Consider the following 25,796-nt stretch of genomic DNA (forward strand, 5'->3'; position numbering starts at 1 on the left):
CGGAATGTTCTATAATTAGAATTAGATAGTAGTCATGATGTTTGTACAACACAGTGAATATACTAAAAACCACTGAATTGTACACTTTAAAATAGTGACTGATGCTATGTGAATCATATCTCAAAAAATATTTTAAAGCACCAGGTGCACTGTTTTAGTCTATTTTCTATTGCTGATAACAGAAAATCTGAATCTGGGTAATTTATAAATAAAAAGAATTTATTTCCTATGGTTATGGAGGTTGGGAAGTTCAAGGTCAAGGGGCCACATCTGGTGAGGGCCTTCCTGCTGGTGGGGACTCTCTTCAGAGTTCCGTGACAGCACAGAGCATTACATGGTGACGGGGCTCAGTGTGCTAGCACAGGTCTCTCTTCTTCCTCTTATAAAACCACAAGTCCCATTCTCGTGCTAACCCAATAATCCATTAACCCATTAACCCATGAATGGATTAATTTCAGAGCCCTCATCACTCAATCACCTCTTAAGGCCCCATCTTTCAATACTGCCCTATTGGGGATTCAGTTTCAACATGAGTTTCTGAAGAGATGAACATTCAAACCATAGCATACACCCACTAGGATGATTATAATCCAAAAGCCAGATAAAAACACGTGTTGATGGGGATGTGGAGAAATAGAATGCTCACACCTTGTTAGTGAGAATGTGAAGTGGCGAAAAAACAGTCTGGCAGTTTCTCAGAAAGTTAAACATAGAGTTACCATTTGACCCAGAACTTCTACTCCTAGATGTTTACCCAAGAGACATGAAAACATACATGCACACAGAAACATGTACATAAACATGTAGAGCAGCTTTATTTATAATAGCCAAAAGTTGAAAATGGCCCAAATGTCCCTCATCTGATAAGTTGATAAAATGTTTATCCAATGGACTATTAATCAGCTATAAAAAGAAATGGAGTACCTGCCACAACACAGATGAACCTCGAAAACACTTTGCCAAGTTAAAGAAACCAGTCACAAAGGACCACGTACTATTATGAGTCCATTCATATGAAATGTTCCAAATAGACAAAACTATAGAGACAGAGAACAAATTAGTAGTTGTCTAGGCATAGGGAATGGGGAATTGGGAGGTGGTGGCTAAAGGTTATAGAGTTTCTTTAAGGGTGGGAAGTGATGAAAATGTTCTCACCTTGTGATGATGGTTGCCCAGTCCTTGTGATGATGGTTGCCCAGATCTAAAGATCCTAAAAACCATTGACTAGTACACTTTAAATGGGTGAACTATATGGTATATGAATTATATCTTAATAAATCTCTTGGAAAAAATAAAGAATACATCTAACAAAAAAAAATTTAAGGGATATTTATTCCTTTTCCAATTGTTATAATAAAACCAGGTGGAAGAGAATGGTTGTAGCAGTTAGAAAAAAAAAGAATACAAATCTGGGGTTTGGCCATTAAAAGTTATTCATAAAAATGAGAGAAGAAAAGGCAAGAAGAAGTTATTTCACATTACAGACCTCTCCCTGGCCCCAAAGCCTAACATGTGCTTACCGAGTCAAAAAAGAGACACAGTTGATTCACAAGCTGAAGGTTGGAACTTGAATAGAACCCTAGGCAGGGCAGTGCCCCCCTGCCCGGCCCAGGTGCCACTAGGCACAGCACCAGAGTAAAAACTCAACAGCGGGGAGGCCGGACCCTCGAGGTTTGGGAGTTTAAGCACCCAACTTCTGGCTCAGGGATTTGGGGAGTAGGGTAAACAAAACCTACTTGGAAAAGAATTGGGGAAGAAAACCAAAAATTGCCTTCTGCAGGGCTGGGGACAGGGAAGGAGGCAGGGCCAGGGAAAGGCACATTTCATATCACTAATCTAACTTGGGAGGCTGTGGGGGACCGTCTTCAACTGGCCTTACGAGGAAAGCCACATGGCCGATTGGAGAATCCACAGGAGGGAGAGAAGGAAAGGGAATGTAGCTGGTAGGATGCAATAGCCCCTTCCTTTCTGGGCACAGGAGGGCAGCCAGGGCACCAGGTCCAGGCAGTAACCTCACAAGAACAGCAGTTTTTGCAGCTTAGAGATCACCCACCTGGCCCACCCAGCTACTCATTCTGCTCAGCGTGGGCTGGTGTAGGGCCACTCTCCGCCCCGAGGGAGTGGACAGCTCTGTAGCTTGGGGCCCTGCCTCTTCTTCTGAGGCAGTACTGCCTCTGCGCCCTTGGCCTGGGGCTCCTGGCTCTCAGGGGTGGCAACAGCCTTCCCTTCCTGGGCAGCGCCCTTGTCGCTGCAGGCATTGATCTTCCCCCACTCCTGTTCTTCCTCCATAGGTGAGGAGGCAGAAGAGTCACCCCACCCTCCTTCCCATTTCTCTTGAAGGACAAGCTGCTCTTAGAAACCCTTCTTGAAAGATAATTATTTATTTATTTATTTATTTATTTATTTATTTATTTATTTATTTATTTTAGACAGGGTATCACTCTGTTACCCAAGCTAGAGTGCAGTGGCGCAATCTCGGCTCACTGCAGCTTCGACCTCCCCAGGCTCAAGCCGATCCTCCCACCTCAGCCTCCCGAGTAGCTGAGATCACAACCCCAGCACACTCAGCTTTTTTTTTTTTTTTTTTTTTTTTGGAAGGCAGCTATGCTCTCCACTCTACTATCAACGCTATTTTATTGTATTTTTGTAGAGACGGGTTTTCGCCATGTTGCCCAGTCTGGTCTCGAACTCCTGGGCTCAAGCGATCACCCCTGTCTTGGCCTCCCAAAATGAAGGGATTACAGGCGTGAGCCACCGTGCCTGGCCTTGAAAGGCAATTTCGTCTTCTTGGAAGTCTCCTTGCGAGGGAGGGAGCCTCCCCTTTGGCCTCAGCACCCTGGCTAGGGGGTGCTGGCTCCATGGCATTGCCAATGGTCCCGGCTGCCTCTTCTGTTCACAGGGGCCTACTCCCCTTCACCCTTGGGGGATGTCACCATTGCTTTTCACGTGGCCACCCTCCTGTCCGTTGGCTTTCGCGTGGGGAGTGCCTGCTGCCTCTGCGGCGGTCACGTCGCCCCGGAGAGCCTCGGAGCTCTGGCTGCCCACGATGGGAGTCCTCTGGGGGGCGCCGGAGCCGTGCCGGGTCCCCGCCGCAGGGGACAGTAACGCGGAGTCGGCCTGGCCGGCGGAAAGGGGGTGCTGGGGAACAGAGCCGCACCCCACTCGGCTCGGGAAAGCCCTGGTAACCAAAATTCTTGAAAAGCACTAGTGTCTGGCCTCGGCACTAACTCTCCCCGAGTCTCGTTAAGCCTGCGGGGATGACTCAGAGGGTCTGGGGTCCTGTCGGGGAAAAGTTCAGAAACCAGAACAGTTCCAGATTCTCTCCATGTGTCTGTGGTCCCACCACCTCCTCCGCAAGGGACCCTGAAAGCTGTCTGGGACCTAGGACAACTTCTTGGGATGAGTACGGCCATTCGCCCTGGCTGAGCCCCAGGAGTGCGGGCAGGGGCCGCGGGGGTCGGGTCGCCAGCCGCCACCTCCTGCCTTTCTCTGCCTGCGGTGCGCTGGGACACCCTCGAGGCGGCTCAGCGCCCGCGGTTCCCAGCGCGGGCGGGGCCGCGGCAGAGGTTCCCAAACCGGTTGCACAGAAACAGCGCCACCCCCTACTGCCCGCGGGGCCACCTGTGTGTGCCTTTCCTTCAAAAACAAAGGCGGGGCGGGGGCGGAAGTGCCTCAAAAGAAGGCGGGCCGAAGCGAGGTGCGGCTCCCTGTCGCCGCGGAGGGGCGGGGGCAGGACGCGCAACTCCGGCCGGAGCTGTCCGGGGTCGTGAGCCGGCCCCGCCTTGGTGGCGGCGCCCCCTCGCGGTCCAGAGGCAGACGCATCGGGTGGGCTCGGGTCTCCAGCCCGGCCGGGAGGAGGGACCGGGTCTGCGGAGCGGGGACTCGGGGCCTCGGCGGGGCGCGCACACGCAGGCGGGGCGGCCCGGGGTGCGGGGCCTCTGCGCGGCTGACCAGGCTCCCAGAGCGTCAGCGCCGCCCATGGCCGAGCCGCTCCAGCCAGACCCCGGGGCGGCCGAGGACGCGGCGGCCCAAGCTGTGGAGACGCCGGGCTGGAAGGCCCCGGAGGACGCCGGCCCCCAGGTAGGCGCCGACTCGGGAGCGGAGGGGCTGGGCCCGCCTTCCGGCTGATTTGCAGTGAGGCCAGCGGGTCCCATAGAGTTAAGTAAAAAGTACAGTTTTTTAAATGGTCCCAGTCCCTACCCACTATGCTACGCAAACGAGAAACCCCGGTCATTTAGCTCTACCCTCCCCGCTACCCCCAGTGCAGGTCCCATCTCAATTTCTTGTCTTTGCGGGGTGGTGGGGCGGGGAGGAACTGGTTACGTCCCAGAACGCGCGGTGGAACCCTCCGAACCGAGGGGGTGTAATAGATGCTTGTCTGAAAGTGTGAATCGAGTCCCCAGCGTGTGGGGTTGGGGCCGCTGCGGTCCCTAATCGCAAGGAGGGGAACCTCGTGGAGGGGAACCTCCCAGACCTAAGGAGCGGGGACCTCAGGCCGGACCCCGGGGCGGTGCAGCCCCTAGACAGGACGGCTCCAGGTCGACCCGAGATCATGGCACCGGTATTTTTGCATCTCACTCCTACCCTCTTAGAATTGCTTCTCGAAGTTTTCTCTGTTCCACTTTAGCCCGGAAGTTATGAGATCCGACACTATGGACCAGCCAAGTGGGTCAGCACGTCCGTGGAGTCTATGGACTGGGATTCAGCCATCCAGACGGGCTTTACGAAACTGAACAGCTACATTCAAGGCAAAAACGAGAAAGGTAAAAGCAGTTTTCCTTGTAATTATGCATATTGTGAAAGAGTCCCCGGGCTTATTATTGAGTTTTAGCTTATTAAAGAAATATCCTTTATAATGGAAAAATAAGCAAGTCATCAAAGACTTGTCTTGTTTTCAGACAAGACTCCTCAGGACCAGGGTTACACTGGGTATTACTTTTCAACCTCTGTTCTCTGATTTTGCTGGATGAACTGGGGTTTGGTGTAACTCGTGATAAGTCCTTTTCTATGGCTAACACCTCAAGATAATTTGGTGACTGGTAGGATCAGAGACGTCAGGAGGCAAGAAGGTACCAAGATTAGAAGCATCAAGTCATAGCTTTTGGTCTGGCTTTGCTGCTATTTATATTTTAGCAGGTCTCTTAGCCTGTGGGACCTCATTTTCTGAATGGTAAGAAAAAATAATTTACTGACCATGTAATCTCTAATTTCCCCTTTTATCTCTAAAAATTAAGAATTTATTAACCCAGAATATCAGTATTACAGAAAGTGGTTTAATGTGGGCAGTGAGCAATTGAGTAATTTTGGCCTTACTGTTTTAAGATGAAAATTATCTTAAAGGTAAATATGTCAACAATGTGAAGTAAATCAAGGAACCCAGATCAAAAAAGAATAGGTTAAATGTTTAAAGCTGTCAAAAATACACTAAATTTGCTTTCATTTTTATGTCACAGAGATGAAAATAAAGATGACAGCTCCAGTGACAAGCTACGTGGAGCCTGGTTCAGGTCCTTTTAGTGAGTCTACCATTACCATTTCCCTGTATATTCCCTCTGAACAGCAATTTGATCCACCCAGGCCTTTAGAGTCAGATGTCTTCATTGAAGATAGAGCCGAAATGACTGTGTTTGTACGGTAAGTGGTAGATAATTTATAGCCTTGCTGACTGCTAGTTTTACTTGCGTGCACTCACAGTTTAGCTCCAATGCAATTTCAAAAGGCTTTTTCACCCTTCCATAAAATCAGGTCTAATGCATTTTGTGATGTTTTCCTACTGGCTTTGTTGTATATGTTACTGAGGTCTGTCACAAGATAATAATCACTTCATTTAATGAGTCTATTGCATGCCCTTCATATAAGACACGGTGCAAATTATATGCTCCCAAAACAAAAGACTGCAATATAGTTAGACCTGAACAAAAATACCTTAAAACAGAAGTCTTAGTTTGTTCAGGCTGTTGTAACAAAATACCGTAGGCTGGGTAGTTTATGAAAAACAGAAATTTCTCTCTCACATTTCTGGAGACAAGGAAGTTCAAGTTTAAGGTGCTGGCAGTTTCAGTGACTGGTGAGGGCCCGTTTCCTGGTTCATAGATGGAACCTTCTCAGAAATGCCCTCATGTGGTGGAAGAGGCAAGGCAGCTTTATTGGACATGTTTTACAAGGCTCTACCCTCATGACCTAATCACTTTCCAAAGGCCTCATCTCCTAATACTATCACATTAGTGATTAGGTTTTCAAAATATGAATTTTGAGGCCCAGCACTTTGGGAGGCTGAGGCAGGTGGATCACTTGAGCCTGGGAGTTAGAGACCAGCCTGGGCAACATGGCAAGGCCCCATCTCTACCAAATGTATATATATATATTAGCCAGGCCTGGTGGCACATGCCTGTGGTCCCAGCTACTTGGGAGGCTGAGGTAGGAGGATCACTTGGGCCCAGGAGGTCGAGGCTGCAGTGAGCCGTAATTGCACCAATGCACTCCAGCCTGGGTGACTGAGACCCTGTCTCAACAAAAAGAAAAATGTATATATGAATTTTGGGGAGACACAAACATAGAGTTCATAGCATTCTGCCCTGATCCTGTAAAATTCATATCATCTCACATGCAGAATACATTCATTCTATCCCAATAGCCTCAAAAGTCTTAATTCATTCCAGCAAAAGCCTAAATTCATCTAAAGATCATCAAAATCAAATCTGAGGCTCAAGGTACAGTTCATCCTGCGGCCGATTCCCCTCCATCTATGAACCTGTGAAATCAAACATATTATATGCTTCCAAAATACAATGGTGGGACAGACATAGGATAAATACTGCATTCCAAAGGAAGAAATGGGAAAAAAGAAATGGGTAACAGGTTCCAAGTAAGTTCTAAATCTTCAGATTAATTTTCTTTGACTCAAAGCTCTTCCCTCTGGGCCCACTGGGATGAAGGTCCCACTTGTGAAGCTCTGCTGAACAGAGGTTGGGCCCCCAAGGCTTCAAGTGGCCCTGGCCATGGCTTTGGATGGCCCAACCCCACTGCAGCTCTCACAGTTGGAGGGACCCCACCCTGCAGCTCTACCAGGCTCGAATTGCACACCGGTGGCCCTCCCAGTCTGGTGTGCCCGGCTCCCATGGCTCTGTTAGCCATTTCCCTATTGGGGACTCACTGCAGTAGCTTGGTCTCACTGTGGCCCTCTGCTTGGGTCACATACCCAAGGCCCTGGGCAGCTCCATCCTTCAAGGTGGAGGTAGCCACACCCCCACAGCTCATGTACTGACAGAGGTCGGCACCACATGGATGCTGCTGAGGTTAACTGCCTGTGCCTTCCGGAGGGACAGACATCACAGCCCAGGCCACACCTCAGCCCACTGGAGCTGAACCTGGGGCATCCAAGGAGGGCTGCACTGGAATGCAGGAAACAGATTGGTGAGGCAGTGCTAGGCAGTGAGTTCCAAGGCCCCCCAGGTGCCCAAAGACCCTCCTTTGAAATTGTTCTGCCCTCCCCAGGCACTGAAACTTGGCATGTGATGGGAGAGGCAGCTCATAATTTCTAAAATGCCTTTGGCATCGTTCTTCCATTATGCTGGAGAATAGGTCCTGGTTTCTGTTTAGATGGCAGTTCCACATTCATCTCCTTATCAAAGGGTTGCTTGGCCTTACCCTTGTTCTCTCTTGAACAAGCTTTCTCATTTCTTTTAATGTAGATAGGCTAAGAATTTTCCAGATGTTTAAGTTCTGCTTCCCTTTTGATTAAAAATTTACTCTTTAAATTCTCTCTTCTTGTATTTTACTATCAAGAGAAGCGAAGCCACATCTTCCATTCACATTTTGCTTAGAAAATGTTCAGCCAAATATCCTATTTCATAACTCACAAGTTGTACTGTCCACATTACACTGGGACACAAACACAGTTTCTTTGCCATGTCATGACAAGGGTCACCTTTCCTCCAAGTTCCAACAAATGTTCCTCATTTCCATCCGAGACCTTATGAGAATGGCCTTTACCGCAAATCACCATGATCTGGTATGACTCCCACTCTCTCCTTAGACTGCCGTTGCCATCCTCAGCAGTGCCTCTGTATCTGCCACGTGGTTACTGTCCTCTCCCACATGACCCTTACAGCAGTCATGTGTGGACGAATCTGTTCCCTTAATACTTGCTTATCCTTTAACTTTCAGAGTGTCACTCTCTTGTCATTTCTCCTGTCCCATTTCTTTACCTCCGTTGGCTCCTCAGCTCCCTACCCTAGGATCACTGTCGATGCCTGTTTTAGACCCTCATTTCATAGCCGACTTGTTCTGGGCAATCCATTCATATTGCTTCAACTCCCTCAGTCGAATGATTCTCCCATCTATTAAGTGTCTCCAGATCTGATTTCCCTACTTGTTGGACATCTCTCTTTGGGGTTGGGGGAATCAAACTCAACAACCCTAAAAATGAGCCTTTGCCCAATTCCCACATCTCTGATCTTATAGTGCCTGTCTCAGTTGAGGGCCTCATCAGCCAGATAGGCTCCTCTTTTTTTTTTTCTTTTTTTCTGAGACAGGGTCTCGCTCTGTTGTCCAGGCTGGAGTACAGTGGCATGATCATAGCTCACTGCAGCCTGGAACATCTGGGCTCAAGGGATCCTCCCACTTCAGCCTCCTGAGTAGCATGTGCCACCACCATGCCCAGCTAATTTATTATTTTTTGTAGGGACAGGATCTCACTATGTTGCCCAGGCTCGTCTTGAACTCCTGGGCTCAAGCAGTCTACTTATCTCAGCCTCCCAAAGCATTGGGTTTACAAGCATGAGCCACCATGCACAGTCAAGACAGCTTCCTGAGCAAGGAATTTACAGTCACCATCAGCACAATGTTCCTGACAATTGATTGTCAAATCTGGCCCATTCACCTCAAAAATGATTCAGGGTTTTGTTCCCTCCTCTCTATCACCATTGTGACTTACTCGGGTCTTCCTCTTCTAGGGACCGCACTAAGTCATCTTTGTGTACCCCAGTTCTTGGCACAAGCCTGACATTCCCAATAGATACTGGGATGTTGATTGATCTTAACTGAATTATTTCTTGACTATTTCACTTCAGTAGCCTGCAAGCCGTCTTCCCTGCCACCAGTCTTTTCCTTTCCTCTTCCACACTGGAACTGTCATCTTTCTTACCACAATGACAAAAGCCCAAAATCTCCGTTGGATTCCTCTTGCCTCCCCAGGGAAGCTCAGATTGTTCACACGGTGCACAGTGCCACATATGACCTGGCCCAGCCCTGTCTCAGCAGCTCCCCTTCCCACCACTTGGGCTTCTCACCCTTCATGTAACATGCCATGTTCTTCCACATCTTGTTACCTTTGACCTCAGGCACGTTAGTCCACTTTTCCTTGCTAAAATTTCCCTGTTTTAAAATGCGTGTGATCATAATACTTACTATCTCATAGGGTTGCCATGAAGATCGGATGAGTTAATTTATGTAAAACACTTGGAACATGAGCATCAAGCATTCCTAGCTCTAGTACTCTCTTTTTCCTCTTCCTGGAGAGCCCATTGCCACCCTACAGGACAAATGACACCTTTTCTGTGATGCCTTCTTCAATTTCTCCACCTAGCTAGGTACTCTGTCCTGGGGCCCTTCTATTCTTCTTCTTCTAAGTAATAGTGGCTTATTTATAGACGGAAATTTCTTCAAGAATATGACAGCATGTTACTATGTCCATATATTCCAGCCCCTGGCAAGGCAGGCACGTGGGGGTGAGGGAGGCAAGCACCATATATGTTGTCTGTGTTCTGAATAAAACAGTGAATAGATCATTGTGAAACAACACACAGTCAGAGAACAAAAGCTTATTTCTAATTAGAGGGTTCAGTATTTGATTTTAAGGGAAAATGAATTTGAAAACAAATTCCTTTTAGGCAGAACATGCTAAGCATTGGTTATTCATCAAGGAAATAAATAATACATTTAAGAGCCAAAATGTTTCTTTCTTTTTTTTTTTTTTTTTCTGAGATGGAGTTTCACTCTTGTTGCGCAAGCTGGAATACAATGGCGCAATCTCAGCTCACTGCAATGTCCGCCTCCCAGGTTCAAAGTGATTCATCTGCCTCAACCTCCCGAGTAGCTGGGATTACAGTCACCCCTCCTCACTATGCCTGGCTAATTTTTATATTTTTAGTAGAGACGGGGTTTCACCATCTTGGCCAGGCTGGTCTGGAACTCCTGACCTCAGGTGATCCACCCGCCTTGGCTTCTCAAAGTGTTGAGACTACAGGCGTGAGCCACCATGCCTGGCCCAAAATGTTTCTTAACCCATGGTTCAGAATTATATTCAATCGACATGAAAATGATAGAATGGAAGAGTTATATCAACTCACCTGCAGTGTTTTATTTTGCATACATGTGCATGCAGAGATTCCTACACTTGACAGGATTAAAAGGGAACTGCATGCCAGGAATGGTTCTGGGTGCTGGGTAGACATTGTTATATAAAGCAGACATGGTTTGTACCCTTAAAAGAGATGACACCTCAGCTGAAGCGTGGTAGGATTGATTTTTTGCACTGGCACATTGATAACAGAACTTATACCAAAGAAGGCATATTAGGAAAAGTTTTGTTTCTCAGTGTTTCTTATTCTTAACCCTCAAAATCAAATTCATCATGCTTGCATGTCAGCAGCTCAGCTAGGTCAGTGCTGTCATGATTTAATCTCAGGATGTTTTTGTTTATATACTGTAGAATGTATACTTAAACTTTTATTCTCTTTTCCCACTTTTTGTTTTAATCTTTTGACTGTCTTTTCTTCCACTTCCCCACAGCAGCCTCCTGACTGGATCCTTCCTCACCAGTCTATTATATGTCTGCCTATATTCTAATCCAGATCTTATCAAGTTGCACATTTCAGCTCAACATCCTTGGAAATAACCTCAAAAGGCCTTAGGCTAATGCACAGGGTTCTTCCTTCTAGTTCTGACTCACCTTCCTGACCTCATTTTATGCCTCACTATGAAAACACTTGGTATTTTTAGATTTATGGTCTCTTTCCTATCACTCCCCTTTCTTTGTTCAGCAAAACCATCCTCCATTCAGGCCCAACTCAGATGATTCTCCTTACCCCAGATTTAATCAGGTCCTCAACGCTCCCACAACACTTTGATCCTGTCCCTGTTTAAAACCCTTCTCAGAGGCCGGGCGTGGTGGCTTATGCCTATAATCCCATTGCTTTGGGAGGCCAAGGCAGGTGGATCACTCGAGCTCAGGAGTTTGAGACCAGCCTAGGTAACACAGTAAGACCCTGTCTCTACAGGTTTTTTAAAAAATTAGTCCGATGTGCACCTGTGGTTCCAGCAACTTGGGAGGCTGAGGTGGGAGGACTGCTTGAGCCCAGGAGGTCAAGGATGCTCTGCCACCATATTCCAGCCTGGGCAACAGACAGAGTGAGACTCTGTCTCAAAAAAACAAACAAACAAAAAAACCTCAGGATGTATAGAGAGAGCTGCCAGAACGTTGATCTCTTCCATTGGATCATAAATTCAGAGAGGTGAAAACTGTATCATATTCATCTGTAATCCAGTGTTTATTCTTTTCCTTAGGAGAGGGAAAAAGGGGCAATGTGCAAGTGAAAATCGAGTCTGGAAAAGGGGCTTCTACAGGGGTGTTGGTGTAGTTCTCTGATCAGCAGCACCGGCATGGATGTGGGAGCTCGGAGGAAATACACTCTCAGGCCCCACCCCAGACCTGAATCTGCATCGTAGCAAAATCCCCAGGTGACCTGTATGCACGTTAAAGGTTTGAGAAGCACAGGGTAGAGCACTTGAGATTGTGTAGGTTCCAAATCCACCTGTCAACAGATGGAAGGAGGGGATGCATCCTCCTGGGTTTCCTCAGTGCTTCTGAGGTCACATGGAGACTGGGAATCACAGGCAGGAGTGGTCAGTTCATCTGCTGAGAGGGAGTAGCTTTTTTTATTTTTATTTTTTGAGAAAGAGTCTTGCACTCTGTCGCCCAGGCTGGAGTGCAGTGGCGTGATCTTGGCTCACTGCAACCTCCACCTCCCAGGTTCAAGCGATTCTCCTGCTTCAGCCTCCCAAGTAACTGGGACTACAGGCATCCGCCACCACATCTGGCTAAGTTTTGTATTTTTATTAGAGATGGGGTTTTACCATGTTGGCCAGGCTGGTCTTGAACTCCTGACCTCAAGTGATCCGCCCACCTTGGCCTCCCAAAGTCCTGGGATTACAGGTGTGAGCCACCTCGCCTGGCCGAGAGGGAGTAACTTTGGAGCTGCACTTCACTCAGCATTCACGGTACTAGCGCCCGCTTTTTGCTTCAGACTGACATTCACATCAGTATTAAAATCATTCACGGTTATTTCCTTTCTCCTTTGTAGGTCTTTCGATGGATTTTCTAGTGCCCAAAAGAATCAAGAACAACTTTTGACATTAGCAAGCATTTTAAGGGAAGATGGAAAAGTTTTCGATGAGAAGGTTTACTACACTGCAGGCTACAACAGTCCTGTCAAATTGCTTAATAGAAATAATGAAGTGTGGTTGATTCAAAAAAATGAACCCACCAAAGAAAACGAATGAGAAAAATGAAAGGAAGTTCTGCTGTCAGAGGCAAAACATCTGTTTATCATAGACATCAACATGACCTATAAGTAAAGTGCGTGTCTAGTGTCTTCTATTGAGAGTACTACTATTAATTAAGCTTATTTCCAATGTGCCTTTTTAATGCTTGAAGTTTTATCTACATACACAGGTAACAGAGGACAGTAGTCTGTAAACATATAAATCGGTCATAACTATCGTGGTCTTTATTTCTGTGAGGATCTAGGGAAATTTCATGTCACTTCCCTCCTTCACTGCATCACAATCATATTCCCTTTTTTTTTTCTTGGATTTGTGTCAGTTGGATGATATCCCCTCCAGATAGTATCAATAAAATGTTAAAATTATTTATCTTGTGTGGAACCCCTAGGCTGTCAGGCCCGGAGAGGTGAAATTCAGCTGGACACAAAAATCAAATTGTCTTTTGTGGCTGCCACCATTACATTCTCTGTTGTATGTATTACTTTCCCTCCTGCATCCTCCCACTGCCCCACTGCACAAGAATACTCCATGTAACTCCATTTAAATGTAATGAATTCATTCCTTTCTTTCTGGTCTCCACTTAACCCCCTAAAAATCTTGCTTTTTCCCCTAAACATTTCCCTGAACTGTCACGTATTTTCATTCATTCTTTAACTCATTGTAGGGAGTCCCTGCTATGTTCCAAGCACTCTGCTAAGGACTGGGAGGTGGTGGTAAGAAAACCTGTGTCCCAAGCCCCTCATCACTGACTTCCTCTTCACTAACTCCAACAACATCTTTCCACCTCCTTAACTATTTCATTCACCCTCCCACTGTGAACACCACAGACAAGGCCCCTGGCCTCATGGAGTTTACATTCTAGAGGGTGAGGGAGTTCAACACAAATAAGATGCTTGAAATTGGCAAGTGTGATGAAGAACAGAATAGGGCAGTGGGGTAGAGTGTGGTTAGGTAGGGTGTGGTGGACATCACATAAGGTGGTCAGCAAAGGCCTCTCAAGAGACAGTTGAGACTTGAATGACGAGGATGAGTCAGATGAAAGCCAGGGGCAGAGGTGAGGGGAGCATCTTGGGCAGAGGTGACAGTGTTAAAGGGAGAGGCCACGTTCAGTACCCAGAACAAAAAGCTGCACACACTGCTTGCTGAGCAAGAGAGCACTGCTCTTGTAGGGCACGGTCTCTCGGATAAAGAAAACTGCGGACCTTATGCAGGGTTTTAGGAAGGATTAACAGACTTTCAAAAGCATTTAGGAGTCGAGGGAGCTTTAGTTGTGGGGATGCAGTTACCAGAGTGAGGCCGCTGCTGATTAGCATGATTTAGAAGCCTAGTTTGGAGGTGAGGTTACTGATGGGAAATTGTCATTGATTGTTTCTGGTACTTAATTGCTACTGTGGCCAAAGGATGGTCAGTTTTATTCAGGATTTGAAGTGGTGGCAGACAACGTGAGGTGTGCCACTCAAATTCACCTTCAAGAAAGTACCAGCCGCCCAGCTGTGAGGGGTGTGGTTCGCCGACAGTCTCCCCGTTACCGTCTTCAGGGTCCACGCCAGATTTCAAGATAAGGACACACTATTCTGTGGGAGAGAGGGACCTAGTCTACAACTGAGCAAGGCAGTGGTAGCTGACAGCATGCTTTTTTCTGGCAATTCCCAGCCAATAACTGAGCAAGGTGGTGGTATAAGACCTAGCCATTTAGGCCAGGTGCAGTGGCTCACAGCTGTAATTCCAGCACTTTGGGAGGCTAAGGTGGGAGGATTGCTTGAGCCCAGAAGTTCAAGACGAGTCATGGCAACCTAGTGAGACTGTCTGTCCAAAAAATAAAAAATTAGCCAAGCGTGGTGGCACACGCCTGTATTCCTAGCTCCTGAGGTGAAAGGATTGCTTGAGCTCGGGAGGCGGAGGTTGCAGTGAGTCCTGATCATGCCACTGCACTCCAGCCTGGGTGACAGAGCAAGATCCTGTCTCAGAAAGAAAAAAAAAAGTCCTAGTCATTTCTACCAACTCGAAAGCCCTCTAATAAGCAGTCTCTGCTCTGGAGCTTTTTGGTGGGCTGCTAGAGACTTTGTTAGATCCTACCGTTCCTCTGCTCAATCCTGCTTTTCCCTTTTCCTTTCAGAGATGTCACTTCACCAGTTTTGTACTCCTAACTCCATCTCAGCCTAAAATTGGCACAATTGGTACCAGTGGCCCACGAACGTAGGTGGTAAGACAGCATTTGCAGGCTGAGTGACTCACTGTCTGGCTGGCTCGGAGGCCCCCATCCCTGGTGGATAGGTGGCACAGACAGTCCCTGGCACAAGAAGGCTGTCCAGTGATGAAGACTTCAGATGAAATGGCATGCTGGTGCAGGGGAACGCAATGACTGGTGGGTGATTTGGGTGTCTCAAATATGGGAAGGGTGGATAAAAGAGACAAGGACAGTGGGCTTCCATGGTTATTGCTGAGTTGGATTGACGTCCTGCAAGTGGATAATGAAAAGCTGAGGTCAATTAACAAACAAAACTAAGTGTGAGCCGCAGAGTCTCTGTGGTAGCTTGCCAACAATCCTCATCTCATGCTGTAGCCAAGCAGAGCAAGCTGAAGGCCAAGCACAGGATTTGATGGTAAAAGTAGCTAACAGCCAACAAATACTCAACCAAGCCAGGTCTGTTAGATCAAGGTTGGAATCAAACTTGGGATCCCAAAACATGGGATGGGAGCATTTAGTGGATCTCCCCAACCATCTGCCTCCCTAGAAAACTCCCTGAATATTCACATCCTTCAGAAGAGGCCCACCCTTCCCCATGAAGAGCTGGAACTACCCTCCCTTCCTGCCTCTTCCCTAACACAAGGGAAGACAGTGTCCAAGGTCTTTCCCCATGAAGCAAAAGGTGTCCCTCAGGACTGGTCCCTCCCCTTCTCCTGGCTACCAGGCCTATAACGAGACTTAAGTCACAACATAACTGATTGCGGCTGAGGGGTCTGATGAGGGAGAAATGGGATCTATGCCAGAGGAGCCACCTAACCTGGCAGCATGTACTGCAGGGGCCAGGGGCGTACTCTTGGGACTGGATCCTGAGGGTGCTTGGTCAAAGGGGCTGGGTTTATACAACTAGATAAAGGAGAGGGTATATTGACTTGGGGCTCTCAGGATAGAGGATTTCACACCATGAGAAAAATGCCAGGAGATAATACAGACTCACTGCTCTAGGGCAGCTTGGTAGAAGCCTAGAAAGAGTGATCAAAATGTTGAAATGCCTGAATGGCTGGGACAAACAATAGAGAAAGGAATGAGAAGGCTCAGGGAAGGGAGCATGCCAGCATGGATATATGAGGCAAGGTGACCCATCAGACAATTATGTTCCACGGGAAGGCCCAGGGGACCCATCCTTCAGCAAGGCTGCTGGGAATGCACTGATAAGCGGGCTTGGGCATCATAAAGGAGCTCAGCGGTGGCTCTCCTCGGCAGGCTGGGGCTGGCAGGAAGGGCTGTGATGGAACTTCACTTGCTGAGAGCAATGTGGATGATGATGAGACCTTGAAGAGCCCAGGTGGCAGTGCCAGCCACAGAAGCCAGGGTGCCATCAGTATCCTGTTAACCACTAAGCTCCAAATGGCAGCCGAGGGGTCCTGACCTGTAAAGTCTCATGGAAATAGTTGGTAGAACAAGGCATTCCTAGGGACAAAAGAGCTGACTAATCAACAAGGGTAAGGCTTTATATATAATCAAAAGTGAGCAAGAATTGATGAGCAGGGGACTGAGAGAGATCACTCCAATTAAAAAACAAAAACATGATTCCTTGCCAGTTTCTAGTTCAGTTTTCTGACCTAGAGCTCATTAATTGCAGAGGTGACTGTATCCTAGGGGAAAGTTTCCTGCAACATTTCAGCAGGTGTACACAGTAATGATCCCCTCATTCTTTTTCTAAAGGATCTATGGCCATTTACTCAGGTGGCTCTACCCTGGGGAAAGAGGAATACCTGGATACGTCAGGGTCCAAGTTAACGTCTGATACCCAGAAACCCAAAGAGTCATTACAGTTCCTCCTCCTCCCATTAAAATGGGAGCATACAGAGGTTAGAAAGTAAACGTAGTTCTAATCAAAGTTTGGCTTACAGCAGATCTCCTGGGCCTGCAGGTTATCTGCCTAATCCCTGAATGTATAATTGAGACTGACATCCTTGGCAGGCAGAATAACCCCTACATTTGTTCCTTGACCTGTGGGGAAAGAGTATAAGCTTCTAAACTCCCTCTCCTCCAATCAGGGCAGTAAACCATAATAAATATTGCCTTGAACAGTATTTTTTAAGCACCTCGGGTGAACATCTGCTTCTGGCCATGATGATGAATTGGGAACCCAATTTACCTGTCCCTCTTAAACAACTAAAAGCCCAGACAAAATATATGAAACAATGGTTTTCAGACACTGAAAGTTCATAGTACAGGACTGTGATCTCTGCGAGAAGGGGGAATAATGAGGTGAGTCCAGTGATTGCTCAGGCGAATGGCCTGGAGGCAGTTTCTAGGCAGCAAAGCAGGGAGAGGGAAGCCAGAGACCAGTGGTCCTGCTGTGTTGAGGAGATGGAGATCAGTGTCACCGGAGGCCAAGGTGAGTAAGTGAGAGGAGAGGAGGCAGCAGCACACAGACAGAGAGTGCTGTAGATCTGCAGTGGGTCCCCTGGAGTCCTTGGTTGAGTGAAGGTGTTAGAAGAAACTACTTAAGCCAAGAAATGAGTAACTGGAAATTAGTAGAGCAAATAATTTACAGATCATCTATGGGGCTGGGAAAAGTTTGTGTTTCCACTAGCCAGAGTAGAAATAACTCATAATGCATGGGTCATCAGGTGGAGTCCTCCAACAGGTGTTGCCTTAGTACTGAGGTCAAATTGTCCCTAGACCAAAGGCTTCTTTGGACTTCCCCTAACAAAGCTTAAAGACAAGCCTTGGAAGGATCAAACTAATTTCAAGAAACTTAACTGTGAATCAGAATAAAACCCAATACCATTTATAGGAATATAACAAAATCCATCAACAAACAACATAACACTCATAATTACCAACATTCAGTAAAAAATTACTGGAAACAGAGAAATATAAATTATGGCCCATAATTAGGAAAAAAGGGTAATCATTAGAAGTAGAACCAGAAGTGACAGATATGAAGAAATTAGCAGCTTGAATTATGTGATGTGGCAGATCTTATGTATTGGAGGTAGGGGGAAAGAAGATGCAGTGTGGAATAGATGACAAGGCCCAATGAGAGAATCACAGTGCAGGTCCCTGGGGCCCTGAAGGAAGGTGGTTCTAACCACAGGAGAGGATCATATGCTTTTTGAAAAACAGCCTCTGCTGTGCTACTGGGCCCTGGTAGACACGGAACTTTGAGACCCAGTGATGCTGTATCCAGAACTGCTCATCTTAACTAGGTCCTGTGGGAAGCACTAAGTCATAAGCTAGTAGGATCGGCAGCAGCCCATTGGAAGATGGAAATGATATGTACAGGAGCAGTTCCAAGCCAGACCAGAGGACATAAGCAAACTGCAAGAGCAATTACTCCAACCGCCATGTCTGCACAGTGGCACCTACATCCCCCCTCCCTGTGGTTGTTGGAGGACCTGTATGATCCACTGAAGGAAGAGGAATGCTTGGGCTTGGTTTATTGATTAGTTATCTTCTGTAGTTGCAAGCTGAAAATGGACCTTCACTCAAAGGTGACATTGAAAAACGGGAAAAAAATTGCAATCTTCCTGCAAAAACTGGGCAGAATTTTTTGAGGTACACTGGATCATTCACCTTGTGAGGGAGGACAGGTAAAATATTTATGGAAGTGGCAGAAAATGGCCTGCCAGCTGATCAGGAGTTTGGGAGGAAAAAAACATGGATTAGGAGGTCTGGGGTAGAGGCATGTGGATGGGCATATGGAGTGAACACAGAAGTTGAAAAACTGTATCACATGTTAATGCCCACTAGATAGCACCCACCAGAGAAGAGGCACTAAACAACCAAGTAGATGAAATGACTTAGCCTGTTCTATTAGCTTTTGCCAGTGCCCACCTCAGTGCTGGTAAAATGCACACATAAAGTGGCAGTGGTGGCAAAGATGGAGGCTATGGATGGAACCCACCAACATGGGCTCCCACTTACCAAGGCCAACTTAGACACTGCTCACTGTGACTATCCAACCTGCCTGCAACAAATACCAATGCTGAGACCCTGATGAGGCTGTGAAGACCAACTGGTCGCTTGATAGCAAATTCACTATGGTAGGCTCATTCTTTCCTAGAAGCACCAGCAGTTTATTCACACAAGGACAGACTTCCTATTCTAGGTATGTGGTTCCTTTCGGGCCTACAGGGTCCTGAACACAATCTAAGGACTTACAAAACATCTGAACTGTCAGCGTAGATTTGCTGAATACGTGATCTATACATGTTAACACCCAATCAGGGAGAGTTCGCCAGCGGTCATAGGATCCACTGCTCCTATCACATACTGCGCCACCTAGAAGCTGCTAGACTGATGGAATGTTGGCATGGCCTGCTTTAGTGCCAGGTGGGAGACAATACCCTGCCAAGATGTGCCACCGTCTCCTGCACACAGTATACTTATTGAATCAGAAAGCCTGTATGATGCTGTGTCTACAACAGGAATATATAGATTTCAGAACCAAGGAGTGGAGGCAGGAGTGACCCCACTTACCATCGCACCCAACGAACCACTGAGGGACTTAGTACTTCCCATGCCCACAACTCCAGGTTCTACAGCATCAGAAGTCCTAGTTCTCAGAGACTGTATACCTTCTCTAGGCAATATTGCAAGAATCCCATTGAACTACAGTCTGCTGCTACTATGTGGGCACTTTGGACTCTGTGTTCAGGGACCAGTAGGCAAGAAGTCACCATCTAGTCAAGGGTAATTGACCCTGAACTGCAGGAGGAGGCAAGCCTGCTGTCAGAGGATAGTGGCGAGAGCAATGTGTGTGGAACTTAGCGGACCCACTGGAGGCACCCTCTGTACTCCTTGCCCAGTTGTAACTGAATGGACTAGTGCAGCAACCCTGGTCTGAGAAGGGTTTGGCTCCCAGGAGCTCAGGACCCTCAGGAATGAGAGCTTGGTTTATACTATCAAAAAAGCCACCAAGACCAGCAAAGATGACAGTTGTGGGTGAGGGGAATTTAGAATGAAGCAGGGAGTAATGAGGACCAGTTGTGGTTCCAAAACCATTTGCAGGAAGGTGCTATAGTTGGTCCTACCAAACTCCTCTTTCAACATTTATCCTCAGGAAGAGAGGTCCATTGGCGCCCTGAAACAGTCACTCTCTGCGTGTTTTTGGGAAAATGGATCCACATAGGCAAGGGGTGGACCATGGCAGGCATAGAGCGGTGCCACTTAGATCCCCCTTCAAGACAAGATATGCCATCCAGCTGCAAGGAGTGTGGGTAGCTGGCAGCCACCAGCTGCTACTTCACCAGGATCCACCTTAGCTTTCAAGCTGAGGTCACGCTATTCTCAAGACAGGAGGGGTTGGTGGCCAATGATTTCACTAAATTATGGAAATTGAGAGCATGCTTTTCTGAGGGGGCCCTCTTGCCAAAGACCAAGCAAGGCCATGGTACAAGGACCTAACTGTTTCAGTCCAACACAGGACTCCTCCAATGAGTGACCTTTTTCCCAGAGTTCCCCTGGGATGGCAGCTCGCCTGCTCTCCCTGCCTCGTCCTGCTTCCTCTTTTCCTTTCAAAGGTGCTTACTCCAATAATAAATCCTTTGGTATTCTAACTGTCTACTTCTTGAAGAATCTAAACTGGCAGTAGGATCATGCCCCTCACTGATAGCTCAACCACGTTTTCTATCTTTGGGCCTCCTTGTCTTTACCTAGCACATGAGAAGCATTTATTAGGACTTTTTTTCCCCCATTGCTGAACAAATGACTACAGATTGCTCTACCTCTTGTTCTGTGAATAAAGGCTGGCCGCTGTGGAAGGTAGGTCAGAGCAGGCAACTGAGAGAAACTGTATTACAGTTACCGAGTGGCTTATTAAGGAAAGTGGCGCAACAATCAGGTCCATGTTTCATTCAAATGACCCTCCATTCCCCCAACAACATCCTCACATCTGCCAAAGCAAATTATGCTGCTGTGCTCATTTGATGATGGAATCAGCATCGCATGCAGGCTGAACCCCTACTACGGCAGAACCAAGAAAGCCACTCTTTCCCCTCTCCTCCTAAGATGCCACCACAGAGCAGGGTGCCAGTGGTGGGTGGGGAGAAAGACGGAGACACAGAAACGTCTCCTTTTCACTGTGATTCTCCTAAGGAATATACAGTCACCCCCACAGGAAAAGCAAGAGTTCAATCAAGATTCTTCAGAAATAGTAGGATGGCAGAAAGCAGATCGCATTGAGGTTGTTTCCAACTGACAGACCAAGCAGTAATTTGTTTCTCTCCCCACTGATAGTAAAAATAAAGTGGAAATAATTTAGGGCTGGGGCTTCTGTGATTATCTGGAACTTAAAGTATGAGGGTATGAGAGCCATCAGATCTACCCCTGTGGAGCTTTTTAAGATGCGGTCCATAACAGAAGCGGGCCCCAAGGAGTAGAGTAGCCACATGGAAGGTGCCATGTTTCAGGGATGAGTCTCGATTCTTCTCTCCCTGTATTTCATCCATGCCTGTAAGAAGTTCTCACGTCTCTCCACATGCCACGTCATCTGAACCGCCAGGCGATAGGTTATTCGTATTTTATTCCAAAGTCCATAGGACACGATGTGGACTTGTTTTTCCACGTGCCCTTGTAGATGGTGCCATCCAGTGTCTGTGATGTTCCACCTCCTCTGTTGGGTTGTCACCTCCCCCAGAGACCTTCTGGTCTCACTGCTTTTCTGTTTGTATCCAGCAAAACACTCAACAATTCTGTATAAGAACACCTATCTCATTATTCAAAAAAAATGCATGTATAAACAAAAAGAAATATTTCAAATATTTACTTTACAATTGTTTTATTCAAAGGAAATTAAATACAAATGTATATTTTTCATTAAAAATGGGGATTTAAAAATAGTTTTATAATTAGTGTTATGTTGCTTTATCTTATCTTTGCATAAATTATGTATTATTAAAGGTTTCTGATATCCATATACATTCTAGTCTTTTTTAGGCAGCTATGAGAAGATTTCATATTCAAAAGCCAATGCCACTTTTCTAAAGAAACGATCTTTGTGCCAAATTAGTAGACAATTGCTCCAAATCTCTGGTCTTGACTTCCGGTTGTGTGAAGAGCAGTGTTTTGTTTTTTTCAGAGAAGGGAAAGAGCCTTCATTCTTTAGGTTTGTTTTTGCCTCAAAGACATTTCTATATGGGTATCTAAAGTTTTAGTTTATAAGTCTCATAATGATTTGACCCATGCAGTCCAACTTTTAGATAGTATTTCCATACCCCCCAAAAGCTGGCAGGTGGTAGTCGCACTAGATTCAGACCAAGACTCTCCGCATTGTCATCCTAGGTCCTTCTAATGAAGAAGACAATACTCTAGTTTATTTAACAAATAAAGGAGTCTAAGTACATGGAAGTTAAGGGAGTAAGGGTGGGGGTAATGAGATTATTACATTAAAATAAAGACTTCACACACGTGTGTCCCATGTCTAAAATTGTTGAAAATCTGATTGGAGAAGATTAGAAGTAATTAGCAACTCAATTATTTATAAACAAATATAAAAATGCACAAACCAAATGATGCAAAAAAACCTTTTTAATCTAAAAATTCATTTCCCAGGGCTAATTGATAGCCAGGCCCTACCAATTTTTATCAGTTTATTTGACTAACAAGAGCTATTCAGCATTTTCTTCAAAGTAAGATAATATATAATAGATTTTGATAAATCTTTCTGAATTAGGACATGATACTGTAGGCAGTTCAAGGAAAAAAAAATAGCCATAACTTTTTCTTTGGTGTAACCAAAAGGATATCCAAAAGTTAGCAAATGTTGACATTTCAAGTGACAGGAAATTGCCTAATGGAAGTTTAAACTCTGGTTAAAAAAAAAAAAAAAAAAAAACTGTTGTAAAAGGAAAAGCTCCACCCATAGTTCTGTAGTGCAAGTTTTCAAATTTAATTCTGAAAAATAATTTTATTTCATAGGCAGGAAACAAATTCCAGCAGTGTATCACTTACTCCTTTCCAACCCTTCCCCTCTCTCTATGTCCACACCATCACTTCAGTTGTCAATGACCTCAGCTGCTACTCAAGGAGGAAATTCATTAAAAAATTACCCACACTTCTAAAAATCAGGCTACAATTGTGTGTATGTGGCTGCACAGCAGCAGGCACCAGGTTACAGCATTGCCACTTCTACGTTTGTCATTTTTACAAAAAAGAAGCAAAGTCTACCTCCCCCAGAAAAAAGTACCTGAACCAATTAGTCACTTAGCCCCTTCCCAGCCTCTCCGTGCTCACCAGACCTGCCTCACCTCAGCAGCACACGTGTGCATATATCTGTGTGTTCTGTGCATTAAGAACCAGCAACTCTACTGCCTCTTTCTTGAAGTAACATCTTCTCCTTTCTTACAAAACTCGCTGATTTCTATAAACGTAATTCTCTGAAAGCAATTACCGCCTAGACCAGAGGACTCCGTTACTCTACCAAGCTTAAGTCTGGCTTGCTTTCTTCTATTTCTGTACATGTTGTTTGTGTATATGTGTATTTTTTAAAAATTAAAAAGTGTGGAAAATGCACACATACACACCCAGCATTTAGCAAAAAAAAAAAAAAAAAAAAAAAATCTTCCCCGGGAAGCACTTTCAGAAGTTTAAGCTTCTACTTGTTCTTAAGCCACAGGGCAAGTGCCAGGTGAGTCCTAAATAACCGTTCACTCACACTGCAGGGCTGGCAACCCCGGGGCCCACAGCACAGAAGCAGAGTGGGCTCCCCGGGTGAGCCAGGGAAGGGCGCCTAGCAGGCTTCCTAGAGTGCTGCATTGCTCGTCTCCCCCCGTGTCACCTGGGAGAGTTACGTTCTTGGCCCTAACTCTCCTCGCTCAGAGAACCGCCACACTGTGGGGAGGGCTCTCTGCCCTCTGCACTGGCTGTCCCATCCACAGGGCCGGGGGCCTGGGGCTGCAGGGAGGCGGCAGGCCCCTCCCCACAGAGCAGGCCGCCCTCGTCCATCTCCTCCCTCGCCAGTCCGTCCAGGGAACATCCCTCCGCAGCGCCCAGAGCCCCGCGGGCTATGCTGTCCACAGGCTCCACGGCTTCCCCTTCTCCCTCCGAGATGACGGTCATGGGGCTGCTCTGGATCCGGTTCCGCATGCTGTACCTGCTGCTGGCGGCAGAAGGCGGCGTTCGGCTGCGGCCGTACCTGGGGCCGGAAAAGGACAGACTCCGAGGCATCAAGCCTTCGTTCTTGGCCCACTCCTCCTGCGCCCTTCTGTTCTTGCTTGGGGAGCAGCTTGACGGGCTCTCGGGGGCATCTGGGGAAGGCTCTGACCTCGACCTCTGGAATCTAGGGTCTGTGTTCTTGAGCATCTCTGCTGCAGACATGCGGGCGCTGGTGTCTGAACGACTGCCCTTTTTCAGCAGCAGAGCTTTGAAGTTGTCACTGCTGGTGCTGCTCTTTCGGATGCTTCTCTGAATCGACCCCACTTGCTTTGGAGAGGCCAGGCTTGGGGCAGCGCCGGTGGGTGTCACGGGCGGGGAGGGAGAATGGTTTCGGGAGTGGTCATCATCTGAATCTCTACGGCCGAGGACTTTCCTTTTGGATCTGAGATTTAATAACATTAAGAAAAAGGTTAATTCCCACGGGACCACAGGCTGTCAGCCACAACCACTCTGCTCTTATCGCATCTTCAGGTCACCATCTACTTAAGATTCACTTTCAAAAAATTTATTTTTGACTGGGCACAGTGGCTCACACCTGTAATCCCAGCATTTTGGGAGGCCACGGTGGGAGGATCACTTGAGCTTAGGAGTTCGAGACCAGCCTGGGCAACACAGTAAGACCTTATCTCTATTCAAAAAAAAAGAAAAAGTAATAAATGCATAATTTATTTTATTTTTTTGAGACTCACTCTGTCGCTCAGGCTGGAGTGCAATAGCGCAATCTCAGCTCATTGCAACCTCTGCCTCCCGGATTCAAGCGATTCTCCCTGCCTCAGCCTCCCAAGTAGCTGGGATTACAGGCACCTGCCACCATGCCCAGCCCAGCTAATTTTTGTATTTTTAGTAGAGACGGGGTTTTGCCATGTTGCCCAGGCTGGTCTCAAACTCCTGACCTCAGGTGATCTGCCTGCCTCGGCCTCCCAAAGTGCTGGGATTATAGGCGTGAGCCACTGTGCCTGGCAAATAATTTATTTTTAACTTTGGAAAATTTCAAACACCCACACAAAAGAGAACAGCTCACTGCAAGACCGCATGAGCCCATAACTCACCTATGATAATCATTAATTACGGTCACCCTTCTTTTGTCTCCACCCTCCCTATTTGAAACAAATCTTAGACACTATTAACTTACTTTGGACAGGACCAAAAGTTTTAATAATGGCCAGTTTTCCTTGATCTCTCCTAGACGGGCTGATCCGGAGTGAATTTCACATGCTGACCCTCCTTTCTTTCTATGCTTCCTTTTCTTGTTCCATGCCAGAATATCCCCTGTACTAAGATGTACCCCACTCCAGGTCCTAGAACAACTCCTCAGCTTCACATTCTCAGTTATTCTAGAAGTTGCCGTCAGACCAGTCTTCCTCAGCTCTTCCAGGACCATGTGCCAACTTCTAAAATCCAGCCTTCCAGAAAACAAAGGCGAACCCTCCATGCCAGACCCTGCTTCATGATCGACTCAGCAAACCTTGCACTGATCAAGAAAATGTGAGGGGTGGGGTGGGGTGGGGAAGACGAAGGGGCAATCAAAGAAAGCTGAAGGTTTCCTGTAGGTATTTCTTGTCCTGAGTCTCTGAGAACCTCACTGTTCAATGTGCTTTCCATTGCCAGTGACAAAGAGATGATAAAGCCAGTGAGCCAAGTGGCCCCTTGCTGGTCTCTTCATGACAACAACTCAGTCTGTGTCTCTTAGCTAAGTGCAGGAGAACTTGCTTTAAGGAAACTCAACACAGTTAATAGAATAAAGACGTGGGTATATCTCTTTTCCTGCTATAAAATTGTAGAATATGCAGCAGGGAAAGGTTGAGAGTATGATATCTGTACACACAGATTAAGAGTTGAAACCAGACTCTTCCCACCTCTCGCTGTGTGACCTGGGACA

The 25,796-nt window shown here is 46.7% G+C and overlaps 2 protein-coding genes and 1 pseudogene across 29 annotated transcripts in view, besides 4 other annotated features; 1 reads left to right on the plus strand and 2 right to left on the minus strand.

The window, feature by feature from the left end:
• MARCKSL1P2 (MARCKS like 1 pseudogene 2) lies at positions 1,322–3,129 on the minus strand (annotated as a pseudogene).
• Positions 2,400–2,920: an enhancer, noted in NCBI's record as "H3K27ac-H3K4me1 hESC enhancer chr6:138724054-138724574 (GRCh37/hg19 assembly coordinates)". NCBI's record gives its function as "activates a minimal SCP1, AML or CMV promoter by ChIP-STARR-seq in naive H9 embryonic stem cells {active_cell/tissue: H9 hESC(naive)}" and the evidence as "EXISTENCE:reporter gene assay evidence [ECO:0000049][PMID:30033119]".
• On the plus strand, positions 3,014–21,680 carry HEBP2 (heme binding protein 2). 3 transcript variants are annotated; one of them, NM_001326380.2, is made up of 4 exons: positions 3,014–3,181; positions 4,628–4,763; positions 5,454–5,634; positions 12,363–21,680. In NM_001326380.2, exons 1-4 carry the CDS (start codon positions 3,047–3,049, stop codon positions 12,559–12,561), a joined length of 651 nt encoding a protein of 216 aa, NP_001313309.1. In that variant the 5' UTR covers positions 3,014–3,046; the 3' UTR covers positions 12,562–21,680. The 3 variants fall into 3 exon arrangements, with proteins under 3 accessions (NP_001313309.1, NP_055135.1, NP_001313310.1); NM_014320.3 differs by lacking the exon at positions 3,014–3,181 and adding an exon at positions 3,706–4,080; NM_001326381.2 differs by lacking the exon at positions 3,014–3,181 and adding an exon at positions 3,706–4,080 and having other exon boundaries at positions 5,454–5,516.
• Positions 3,122–3,191: a silencer, noted in NCBI's record as "silent region_17595". NCBI's record gives its function as "represses an Ori minimal core promoter by ATAC-STARR-seq in GM12878 lymphoblastoid cells {active_cell/tissue: GM12878}" and the evidence as "EXISTENCE:reporter gene assay evidence [ECO:0000049][PMID:35858748]".
• Positions 3,322–4,171: a silencer, noted in NCBI's record as "silent region_17596". NCBI's record gives its function as "represses an Ori minimal core promoter by ATAC-STARR-seq in GM12878 lymphoblastoid cells {active_cell/tissue: GM12878}" and the evidence as "EXISTENCE:reporter gene assay evidence [ECO:0000049][PMID:35858748]".
• Positions 3,442–3,962: an enhancer, noted in NCBI's record as "H3K27ac-H3K4me1 hESC enhancer chr6:138725096-138725616 (GRCh37/hg19 assembly coordinates)". NCBI's record gives its function as "activates a minimal SCP1, AML or CMV promoter by ChIP-STARR-seq in primed H9 embryonic stem cells {active_cell/tissue: H9 hESC(primed)}" and the evidence as "EXISTENCE:reporter gene assay evidence [ECO:0000049][PMID:30033119]".
• The window catches only part of NHSL1 (NHS like 1), a 271,170-nt gene continuing 266,899 nt past the window's right edge, over positions 21,526–25,796 (minus strand). For all 26 annotated transcript variants that reach the window (XM_047419113.1, XM_047419109.1, XM_047419110.1 and 23 more), the window contains one exon: positions 21,526–24,299. In XM_047419113.1, the coding sequence (XP_047275069.1) occupies positions 23,564–24,299 (736 nt within the window). In that variant the 3' untranslated portion in view covers positions 21,526–23,563. The remainder of the gene's footprint in view (positions 24,300–25,796) is intronic.

The sequence above is a fragment of the Homo sapiens genome, chromosome 6 (assembly GCF_000001405.40).
Source record: "Homo sapiens chromosome 6, GRCh38.p14 Primary Assembly".
Lineage (NCBI taxonomy): Eukaryota > Metazoa > Chordata > Mammalia > Primates > Hominidae > Homo > Homo sapiens.

Coding starts and splice junctions, on each gene's coding strand:
- HEBP2 (NM_001326380.2), top strand. CDS start 3,047: ATGGGAGTCCTCTGGGGGGCGCCGGAGCCGTGCCGGGTCCCCGCCGCA. Junction 3,182..4,627: donor CTCGGCTCGGGAAAGCCCTG/GTAACCAAAATT, acceptor GTTCCACTTTAG/CCCGGAAGTTATGAGATCCG. Junction 5,635..12,362: donor GAAATGACTGTGTTTGTACG/GTAAGTGGTAGA, acceptor TCTCCTTTGTAG/GTCTTTCGATGGATTTTCTA.